This window comes from Homo sapiens, chromosome 21 (genome assembly GCF_000001405.40).
Source record: "Homo sapiens chromosome 21, GRCh38.p14 Primary Assembly".
Classification (NCBI taxonomy): domain Eukaryota; kingdom Metazoa; phylum Chordata; class Mammalia; order Primates; family Hominidae; genus Homo; species Homo sapiens.
This window is the reverse complement of record NC_000021.9, coordinates 44,094,593-44,106,584: the sequence shown is the minus strand read 5'-3', so window position 1 is coordinate 44,106,584 and position 11,992 is coordinate 44,094,593. Positions and strand designations below refer to the sequence as shown.

The following is an 11,992-nucleotide window of genomic DNA, read 5'->3' as shown; positions in this document are numbered from 1 at the left end:
CATGTCGCAGCAAAAGATCCAGTGCAAAATAGTTTCTTCTTAAAATGTGTATTTTCAGAATTACAATGCTTACATTTTAAAGTCTTAATACAATGGTTTTAATCTAACAATATATTACATAATATGAAAAATGACTTTTCATAGTAAACCATGAAAATGGAATACCTGCAGTGTCAAAGTCACCAACTTGTCACCTTTTCCAGTCACAGAATCCCAACACATTGTATTAATGATGACTGGGGGGGGTCTTACAGCCTGATGTATATAGGATGAATAAATGTAGAGAAAGGAGCATTTTCATGAAAAATAAAATTTAAAAACCAGGTAGGATTTATTTTAAAGAACACAGTTGAAAGTAAAACATTTACATCAGCCCAGTTTGCCCTTTTGTAAAAAGTAGTATAGCTTTTCATTTTATATACAAACCTGCAGTGTCTGATTTCATTTTAAAACTTAATTTTAAGCACTAAAGAAAATTTGAATAGAAGCCTGTGTGTATTTTCTCTGCTAATTCTGTATGGGATATCTGGCATCTCCACTAAGAGTAATTAATACAGGATCTGACCTTCCTAGGCTGTGCTGACAATGGAACTGTTGTAGGTAAAGTCATTTTCAGATTAAATACAACAATTTCCACATTAGAATCAGAAGAGTTATAATTTTTCCAATCATAGGACATCCCATGAAATTCACAAAAATTATAACTTATTTTATTTTCCATTTGACAGTATTTACATGTTCCACAGATATTTGTAAAACGGCTGCAAATTCCTTGCTTTTCAGATACACATTGCATATCTGGCTTCACAATTATTTAACATCTCTTTATCAACAAAACCAGCTTGTCTCAAACACATACACCTTACTTTAGATAAAAACAATAAACATCCAATTACAGTTACTCTTTTAGGACTTTTATGATGAACATTAAGAAAAAAATGACAATTTTGGGTGACATTCTTCTTTGTCTTAAAGAGGCAGAAGCATTCATGTAACATAGTTTGCAAAAGATCTTTTGGGTAATTAGGGGGAAAAAAACTGATAAATTTGATTTCATTTCATTTCCAGGCAATTAAGCGCCGTAAACATTTTAAATTTCCCCTTCACTTTCTTCCTCTAAATATATATGTAGTTGGATAATTTCATCCTGGGAGTAGAACCAGATACAAGAAAATCAAACAGTAATAAATGAAACATTCCCTCTTCCAGAAGGTAAGAGAGAAAGCTACATTACACTGGGGAAGGCTCCCAGGCTGACGACACGGATTACAGTCTCTTCTGACGGAATCAAATCTCCCATCTCTTTATTCACAGGACTTGGTAGAAATGCAGGGCAATCGTCAATTTTTACAATAAAAAACCTTATTTTAGAAACCCTAAACTATCATTAGATTCTGAAGTTCTAATTTGCTAACTAGTTTGACCAAGTTTGTTAAACTGCACATGAGGAAGATAAATTTCTGGAAAGTTTAATTACACAATTATTTATCTTCTTTACACGTCTCCAGTTTCTACAAATGAAAAAGACAGGAGGAAAAAAAAATCACACCACCTTTATTTATTGAATGAGCTAAAAGACAACACAGAGAATACTGGAAATGACGGCTGTCATATTTCCCCGGTCTGTGCCTCCTTCCTCCCATGCCCCACCGCCTCCCGCAAGCACAGTGCTGGGCAGGAACCCGGTGCTCCTTCTCTCCACAACTTGCACATCCACGGGGATTCACACGAGGGCCACCCACTGCTGGACCCGACTCTATCTGCTTGAGCTAATCTTGTCAAGTTCAATTCCAAGCACATTTGCCCAGTAAATTAAGAGTACTCTATTTCAAGTGTACAAAAATACATCGCTTTGGAGAACTGGAAAAGGTTTAATACATACAACACTTATTTACAAGCTGTGACTTTCACACCTGTAAAAACAAACACACTTATTTTTGTCCTTGATTTTTGGTGCAACTTATACATAAACATTACATCAGTTAGTCTGTATTTTTAAAAATAATAAATCAACCATATGTACAATTAAATTTACAACCGAAAGCAAATAATCCATTGGAACAGTGTGACTGCAACTCAGTAGACCAGTGGAGGACATTCCAGGACTTGAGTCCTTCCCTACAACCAGACCAAAAACACACTGAGGACCTCTCTCATCCTCACGATGGAATATCTTAATTTCTAAGACTTAAGATGCAAAAGAAAAATAACGATTATACAGCTACAATTACATGTAAAGACTTTAAAGGGACAGAAAAACAACATATTAACCCCCACATATATAATGATCATTAAATTAAATATATTTAACTCCCAGTGCATATGATATTCTATCAACATTATGGGGGACCACAGGGTTCCAGAAACATTTATCCCTAAACCACCTCACCGCTGAGGCGCTCCTCACAGCCGGGTCTCAGCTTTCTTCAGTACCTTTCACGTGGCTCCGGCTGATGGGCCTCCAGGTCCCCCAGCTCCGGCATCCCAAGGCACAGAAGGGGTTATGATCCCTCCCTCCCCCACCCGCCTCCCCTAGAAGGGTGTTATTCTAGAAAAGCACAATGAGAGGATCTGCGGTAAACGGCTGTTTTACCCCTTAGGGGACACAAATCCACCCCGATCAGGAAACTGGGCAGCTGTGTGACCAGAAAGGCACACACGTCACTAAGACCGTGAGGGCTGCTGAGTGTCTACCTGAAAGACAAATGGCCTTCCACGAAGAGCCAGCAGACGGAGGCTGTTCCGTGGAGACAGCGTGGGTGGAAACTTTCATGAGCAGCGTGTGAGGTAGGGGGAGGGAGGCCAGGGCTCTGAGTAAGCGGCGTCGGACACCAGCATGGGGACGGGGTGAGAAAAGCAGGAATCTGAGATCACAGGCGGCATGAAAACAACAACAGAACTCAGCTGGCCAGCTGCGTGATGACACTCTCTGATGTCCCCACGGCCAGGCAGGACCACTGAAGGTCTGGCTGGAGCCAGAACGGAAGAGTCCAGTCACAGTCCCATAAAGTGCACTCCTAGCTGGGAAGTGGCGTGTGTTCACCCTGGCGTTGTCATGTTACACTGACTTCCAGGACGTGGTCATCTTGGCTGGGGATGACCAGGACTTGTGTGCCCGAGCTGGAGTTGAAGACCTGGCCGGCCGGCAGTGCCTGCAGCCGGGGCATGGGTAGGCCTTTGTGCTCGCTGCTGCAGGCCGAATGCACGCTGCCCCTGCTCTTGAGGCTGCTGCTGTCCGGCTGGTCGTCCCCGTGCTTGTCTACTGACAGGCTGTCGTTTTCTATCCAGCTGTCTGCAAAACACACAGGAAGTTAGACCCAAGCTGCGCCGACACTCACCTGGGGACGGGCAAAGCCACACGGAGCCAGGCTGAACGTGCAGAATGCCACCCGAGGCTGCCCCTTTACAGAGCACTCTGTGCACAGAGGCTTGGCTTTCAGAGCAGGTGCCTAAGATTCTAACAGCGGATGAGGCTTCTAGTACCAGTTTCTACCGGCACTGAAAACACGCCGCTAGTTCTCCAACCTGCTCAGTCATAAGTTTATCACCTCTCGCACAAAGTGCTCACCTGCTCAAATACTGAAGGTAAACTTTTTCTTCCAAAGTCCTTACCAGCGTCCAGTTGGGAGGAGTGTGCAGAATGATGGGGGAGGTACTTGAACAGCCTGACGTCGGGCAGGGGGAGATACCCGGCGAAGAGCGGCATCACTTCCATGTGGACCCTGTGAGTGGCCCGAGCAGCCACTGGCATGGAGATGACACCGCAGCTTTTCCCACACACTGCCCAGTTGCTACTGTTGTCGACAACTGAAACGAGAGGAAGCGATGTGTCATCCAGGACGGGCCTTCCAGTACTCAGGCGAGAGTCACGGCCGTCGTTACCCAATCCTCTCACCCAACGCTGTCTGACAAAACACTGCGGACACAGAGCCCAGTGCCTTGTAGCTGCGCCTGAAGATAAAGCCATGCACTTTCACGGTGGCAACCCCTATTTCATTGAGTCCAATTTCAATTAGTTCTGGATTAGAATGAATTATGCTGGACGTGTACAGAAAACTGCATTTTTCCTGTGAGGTTAATAAATGATTTAATTTTGTTTTCAAATTTTTGTGTCATCTTCCACAGTATGGTGACTTTGGCAGTTAATGGGTTCTGTCTGGTAAGTGGCAGTATCCAAGACCACTGGGTCTGAAGCCAACTCTGCCACTCAGAAGAGCACCCCAAGGCCTCCAGGCTCAATGACCGCTGTATAGTGCTGAGACCACCACCAGCCTCACAGAGCTGCTTTTTAAGGATGGAAAGAGAATACGTATGAGGGAACTACAAAAAGTTCATGCAAAAATGGAATCCAAAGATGAAAACAGAAAATATAAGCTTTATTTCTCAACATAAGCCCCACCAAGGTCAAGACATGTTTGTAAGCAATGATGCCATTGCTTACGATGCCATTTAGTCCATCCCTGAAGAACTGGGAGGCCTGAGAATTTAGCCATGTCAACGCAGTCTTTCTCTACATTATTAGCTGAATAAAAATGGGTGCCTTTTAAAGACTTCTTAAGATCAGGAAACCAAAATCAGTCAGAAGGAGCCGAATCAGGTCCACAAGGTGGATGCCTCATGATTTCCCATAGAAACCCTCACGAAGTTGGGCTTGTTAGAGGAATGAGCAGGAGCTTTGTCGTGGTGGAGGAGGACTCTCTGGTGAAGCTTCCCCAGGGGTTTTTCTACCAAAGCTCTTGCTATCTTCCTCAAAACAATCTCATAATACACAGACGCTGCTGTCCTTTGACTCTCCAGAAAGTCAACAAGCAAAATGCCTTGAGTATCCCAAAAACCTGTTGCTGTGGCCTCTGCTCTTGACCAGTCTGCTTCTGCTTTGGTGGGGCCACCCCACCTCTTGGTAGCCATTGCCGTGTCTGCTTTGTCTTCAGGATGGTACTGGGAAGGCCACACTGCATCTCCTGTTATGGTTCTTTGAGTAAATGCTTCAGGATCTTGATCCCGTGTGTTTGAAGTTTCCATGGGAAGCTCTGCTCTGGTCGGCCACGGACCTGGGTACTAGGGTTTTGGCACCCACTGAGTGGAACGCTTGCTCACCCTTCAGGCGTAATTGCATAAGCTGAACCAGTTCAGATGTCTGCGGTGTTGGCTGTCATTTCTGCTGTTGTCAGTTCCCTCCAATTAGGGCATGAACAAGGTGAATTTTTTCCTTGAAAATGGATGTGGATGGTCTGCTTGCTATGGCCTTAATCTTCAGCATCATCTCGTCCCTTCTTAAAACAAGATATCCATTTGCAAACTACTAATTCTTTGGGGCACTGTCCAAAGAATTTCATAAACTTTTCATAAAGCATCAATGATTTCACCATTCTTCCACCCAAGCTTCACCATAAATTTGATGTTGGTTGTTTTGTTGTTGTTGTTGTTGTTGAGGCGGAGTTTTGCTCGTTGCCCAGGCTGGAGTGCAGTGGCGCAATTTTGGCTCACTGCAACCTCCGCCTCCTGGGTTCAGGCAATTCTCCTGCCTCAGCCTCCCAAGTAGCTGGGCTTATAGGCGCCTGCCACCACGCCCAGCTAATTTTTGTATTCTTAGTAGAGATGGGGTTTCGCCATATTAGCCAGGCTGATCTTGAACTCCTGACCTCAGGTGATCCGCCTGCCTCAGCCCCCCAAAGTGCTGGGATTACAGGCGTGAGCCACTGCACCCGGCCAATGTTGGTTCTTGATTTAATTTTAGCAGAATTCATGTTGCTCTGATAGGGGCTCTTTTAAAACTGATGTCTTATCCTTCTTAGTGCCTCAAACTAGATCCTGCTCAGTGAGTAGGAGCTTATTTTGGTGCAAAAAGTGTTGAAATCCATGCATAGTTTTTTCATAACGTATCTTCCATGATTTTTTTGAAGACCCCTTGTATGTAAAGCACTTAGTACCACTCCTGGGACATGGTAGTGTCTTAATATATGGCAGGTGTTATTATTAACATTAATTATTAAAACACAACCATCATGTAATTCAATGCAATTCAAACACTTAAGTGATCATTCACTGGGACTAGCCCTGGAGATATGAAAGTAAGCAAGACAGGATCCTTGCCATCCAGTAGCAGTAGACCTGGTAAAGAGGTCACAGCTTCCCATCATGAGGATACCGAGCAACCGCCCAGGGGGAGTGAGTGACCAGAAGGCCACGAGCAGCAGAGAAGGGCTCAGGGAGGTGGACATCCTGTAGTTGGGGATGGGGGACCTTTGAGGACAGGAGCTACTACAGGACATGCAGAGGCCCTAGGAGTGTCAGGAGGAAGGCAAAGGAGTGACAGTTCTCAGAGTGTGGCTCTCAGGGCACCCGCAAGCTCATAGCTTTCACACTGCTGCCTTTCTACGCTGCTGACCTCGCGCTGCTGGGGCAACCACAATGGCATGAACTCGGGCCAGACTGCGCAGTCATGTCACTCATGTTCTTTACTACCATGAACTCACAGCAAAAAAACAAAAAAAAAAATGCCACGCTTCACAAAGCAGTCAAAAGTGCTCATTTTATTAAATTCAGCTCCTGAGTAGACTTTTTTTTAATTGTGAAATGTTTATAGACTCACAAGAAGTTGTAAAAGTAGTAGAGGGGTCACATACCTTCATCACCAGCTTCACCCAACTGTGCCATCTCGTGTAACACAGGAAGCTGACACTGGTACCATACAGTGACCCAGGCTGCAGACCCCACTGGATTTCACTACAGAGTGAACCAGGCTGCAGACCCCACTGGATTTCAATACAGATAGAACCAGGCTGCAGACCCCACTGGATTTCACTACAGAGTGGACCAGGCTGCAGACCCCACTGGATTTCAATACAGCTAGAACCAGGCTGCAGACCCCACTGGATTTCACTACAGAGTGGACCAGGCTGCAGACCCCACTGGATTTCAATACAGATAGAACCAGGCTGCAGACCACACTGGATTTCACTACAGAGTGGACCAGGCTGCAGACCCCACTGGATTTCAATACAGATAGAACCAGGCTGCAGACCCCACTGGATTTCACTACAGAGTGAACCAGGCTGCAGACCCCACTGGATTTCAGCAGCTTTCGCAGGCATTCTTTGGGTCTAATTCTATGGCATTTGTCACATGTGTAGATTCGTGTAACAACCACAGCGGCCCTGGCCCAGAACTCTCCATTACCACAGAGGACGGCCTCCTGCTGCCTCCCACTGCTCCGTGGAACACTGACCCGCTCTCCTTCTGAGGCTGGCATTTTGAGGATGTCATTTAGAAATGGAATCACACAGTACACCTCCTTATAGGACTGGCGTTTTTCTCTTAGTATAATGCCCTTGAGATCCAACCACAGCACTGCGTGTGTCAACAGTCCCTTCTGTTTCACTGCTGAGGAGGAATCAGATGTGCCAGTTTAACCGCTCTCGAGCTGAAGGACGTTTGAGTTATTTCCATTCTTGAGTGCTTGTGTTCTTGACATTCTCTGGGTCTCTGCTGCAGAATGACAGCTGGCTCAGGGAAAGCACACGGGGAGCGCTCGGTGCTGCGAGCTGAAATAGCCGCTGTTTTCACAGAACGCCCTTTTCACTTGCAAGAGCGCTGGGGAAGCTAGTTATTCAGTGTTGGGTATTTGGTAGACGTCTGATTAAAAATGAATGATGTAAGCCTGTCACTTCAAAGAAAACAACACGACTATTTGCTGCCAATGATGCCATCTGAGACTTTAAGCAAAAATCAGAATTTTGGAAAACTTACACTTGCCACTGTGAGCTTGAAAGAGTTCTGATGCTCCAAGCCCTCCCTGAGAGATCACAAATGCAGATTTTAAAAAAATATTGTCAAACGAAAGGTGCCCACATTTGGAAGATCTGCACAACTCAGGAAACCATGTTTCCCACATGACTAATGGCACAGGGTGTAACGCTATGATGCCTGGGTAAAAGAGCCATTCAAAATGCAAGATAGGCTGAGTGCAGTGCCTCACACCTGTAATCCCAACACTCTGGGAGGCCAAGGCGGGAGGACTGCTTGAGCCCATGGGTTCGAGACCACCTACCTTCATACATAAGCTTTGTCGAAAAATGCTCATCAGATTCAGTCAGTGCTTCATCTTTATCCACCTCCAAGAGGTCTGAGAGCCTCGTGATCAAAACCTCCAGGGAGCAGAGGGAGCCTGTTCTGCAATACTCCATTCCCGAAGGGGGAAAGATCTCAGCCTTCACGTTGTATAATGTCTGGGCAGGAAAGGGAGAGAATAGAAAGGAAATGTACCTAAGTGGCCTCAAGAAATGCAACTAGAGGAAAAAGCAGAGCTGCCCACAGACCCTGGAGAGCTGAGGATAGACACCTATCTGCTCGGCTGGCCTTAGAGCAACTGTCGCCACTCACTCTCAATAATTCCCACTGGAGATGCAATGTTTTCGGAAGTCCTACACTCCGAACCTTAACATCCTTCTTTAAATTATGAACATTTTCAACCACAGGAAGAAAGGATAGCACAGAGCCCTTCCAGCCGCCTATCACCCAGATCCTGAGATCTCAGCATCTTGCTGCCTCAGCATCCTCTTATCAAGCCATGGACATTTCTGTATTTGCCTGAGGTAATTTAAAGCGAATTTCAGGCCAGGCATGGTGGCTCACGCCTGTAATCCCAGCACTTTGGGAGGCCGAGGTGGGCAGATCACTTGAGGTCAGGAGTTCGAGACCAGCCTGGGCAACATGGTGAAACCCCGTCTCTACTAAAAATACAAAAATTAGCCGGGTACAGTGGCAGGTGCCTGTAATCCCAGCTACTTGGATTACTTAGCAGGAGATTCCCTTGAACCCAAGAGGCAAAGGTTGCAGTGAGCTGAGATCGCACCACTGCACTGTAGCCTGGGTGACAGAGCAAGACTCTTGTCTAAAAAAATAAAATAAAATAAAAAAATAAAGCAAATTTCAGACAACCTGTTATTTTGCCCCATCTGCTTCAGTATGCATTACTAAACACTAAGGCCTTTTTCTTACCAAAACACAATGCTATTATTACAACTAGCAAAAGCAACAGGAATTCCTTGGTATAACCCAATTCAGTCCATAATCTACTTTGTCCGTGTTTTCTTTCCATAATCAACCTATTCTCGGTGGCTATTCAAACATGCTTAACATTCTACCACCACCCATGACAAACGATCAAAACACATCTGCCACTGCCAAGATGAAAAAGGGCTCATGCACTACAACCTGGCAGTTCCACTTCTGAGGGGAAGCGTTGTGTGTGCGCGCGAGCGTGTGTAATACAGTATAGCTTGACTTAAAAAGTGTTCTATTGGCATTGTAAAATGTTCAAAGAAGAGATTTCAGTATATTAAGAAGCATTTGTCTGGAGTCTGAGGCCAAGATGAAGCCGTTTTATGGGAGTTCACAGCCTAAACAGCAGTCCCAAGAGCGGCCTTTCTAGGTGATCTCCTACCAAATGCCCAATTACCTCTGTTCGGACATGGGACAAACTCCCACCAGTCTCAAGAGGGGCCATGCTGGGACTTCCTGGGGCTCTCAAGCCACAGGGCAGAAAAGATCCCAAATACACAGATGCAAAAGTGCCAGCCGTGGGCCCGGGTGCCCGTAGGTCCTGGGAACTGAAGCAGTAGAACACTGTGCTAGAGGCCCACTGAAATACCTCCTCCTCAGAAGCTTCTGGCTGGGGCACAGTCTGAATGTTTCTGAATCCAGCAAAGAATGCAGATTTGCCTCAGGGCTTGAAGGACACCCAGAGTTGCAGTAGGACACAGTGGGGTGTGATGAGACCTGCGTGTGCCTGAACGCTGCTCTGGGCTGCATCTGGGAAGGAGAGTGGCTGGGGGAAAGCACAGCCCAAGGCGAGCAGCAGGGGCCTCACCTGGCGGCACCTGGAGCTCAGGCACAGGGACCAGAACCGCAGAGCCTCTTCAGAGAGACACGCGAGCACTGACGGCCAGCTGGAATCTGGCAAGGGGGCCAGGGCCACCCTGCAGGGAGGAAAGCATCGTCATGACAGATGGGATAGGGACACCTGCTGGGTCATTTGAAAAGAACAAATTTGGACCCTACCTCTCACCATACACAGAAATTAAGTCAAAGTAGATCACAGACCTAAATGCAAGTGCTCAAATTACGAACATCTTGGAAGGAAATGCAAGAGAAAATCTTTTTGACCAAAGGCAATGATTTTCTAGGTCCAAAGCAAAAAATTTAAGCAATAAAAGAGAGAGTTGAATTGGATTTCATCAAAATTTAACTTTGGTGCTTCAAAAGACAACAAATGGAAGAAAATACTTGCAAATCATATATAAGGACCTGGTACCTAGGATATATAAAGAACTTACAATTCAATAATAAAAAACAAATAACCCTATTTAAACATGGGGAAAGGATCTGAACAGACATCCTTCCAAAGAAGGCAGAAAAATGGGCCACACGCCCACGAGCCGCAGCACATCACCAGCCACTGGGGAAACGCCTGCCAATTGGGACAGCCACAACCAAAAACACAGTGAGACAAGTGCTGGCAGGACACACAGAAGCTGGGACTCTCTGGGTCCCAGCTGGAATCCACTATGTTGCTGGTGGGAATGTAGAGCCCTCTGGAAAAAGTTGGCAGTTGCTCAAAAAGCTAACCACAGAGTTACCCTATGACCCAGAAATTCCACTCAGGTCTTTACCAGGAGAATTGAATAGATACAGCAACATACAAACCCGTACTTTGGGCCAGGCACGGCGGCTCATGCTTGTTATCCCAGCACTCTGGGAGGCCAAGCGGGGTGGATCATGAGGTCAGGAGTTCAAGACCAGCCTGGCCAAGATGGTGAAACCCCATCTCTACTAAAAATACAAAAAATTAGCCAGGCGTGGTGGCACAGCACATGCCTGTTATCCCAGCTACTCCGGAGACTGAGGCAGATAATTGCTTAAACCTAGAGGGGCGGAGGTTGCAGTGAGCCGAGATCGCGCCACTGCACTCCAGCCTGGGCGACACAGCGAGTCTCTGTCTCAAAAAAACAAAACAAAACAAAAAACAAAAAAAAACCCATACTTTAGCCGGGCACAGTGGCTCACACCTGTAATCCCAGCACTTTGGGAGGCCAAGGTAGGTGGATCACCTGAGGTAGAGAGTTTGAGACCAGCCTGATCAACATGGAGAAACACCGCCTCTACAAAAAATTAGCCAGGCGTGGTGGTGCATGCCTGTAATCCCAGCTACGCAGGAGGCTGAGGCAGGAGAATCGCTTGAACCTGGGAGGCAGAGGTTGTGGTGAGCCGAGATCGTGCCATTGCACTCCAGCCTGGGCAACAAGTGTGAAACTCCGTCTCGAAAATAAATAAATAAATAAATAAATAAATAAAATAAAATAAAAATAATTAGCCAGGTGTGGTGACACGTGCCTGTGGTCCCAGCTACTTGGCAGGCTGAGGTGGGAAGATAATGAGCCCAGAAGGTCCAGGCTGCAGTGAGCTATGATTGTGCCACTGCACTCCAGCCTGGGCAACAGAGTGAGACCTTGTCTCATAAATAAATAATTTGTTTATATATAAATTATTATTATAATATATACTATTATTTGATTTAATTAAATTATTTAATAATTTGTGGTTTTATTTATTCATTTAAATTTATTTAAGGAGAGTTATATAAAACATGAAGGTCAAAACAATTTGTCTTGGATGGAAGAAGATAGAAAAAAACTGCTAATATCAAAACTATAAAGACAAACACTTCAAATAAACATTGTTTGATAATTTCAAATAGTAAAGAGAAGAAAAGAAAGTATCACAAAATTGCAAAACATTAAGTCAAATCATCTCCCTAAAGGAACACAGCACACACCTGTATCTACTCACCTAGCTCAAGGCTACTCTTCATTCCACACTCAAATTGGCTTCTACCAAATGATGCACAAGTTCTAAGAAAATCTTCACAATACTCAGCTAGCAGGTTTTCATATGTTTTCAGCTTTTCTTTGAAAAACTAGAGATATGCCTT

The 11,992-nt window shown here is 45.4% G+C and overlaps 1 protein-coding gene across 23 annotated transcripts in view; it reads right to left on the bottom strand.

The window, feature by feature from the left end:
• The window catches only part of TRAPPC10 (trafficking protein particle complex subunit 10), a 94,244-nt gene continuing 82,284 nt past the window's right edge, over nucleotides 33–11,992 (bottom strand). For 16 of the 23 annotated variants that reach the window (XM_011529714.3, XM_011529715.3, NM_003274.5 and 13 more), the window contains 3 exons: nucleotides 8,051–8,228; nucleotides 3,613–3,807; nucleotides 33–3,292 (listed from right to left, as the gene is read on the bottom strand). In XM_011529714.3, the coding sequence (XP_011528016.1) occupies nucleotides 3,054–3,292; nucleotides 3,613–3,807; nucleotides 8,051–8,228 (612 nt within the window). In that variant the 3' untranslated portion in view covers nucleotides 33–3,053. The other 7 variants (XM_011529718.3, XM_047440970.1, XM_047440971.1 and 4 more) reach the window with 6 other exon arrangements.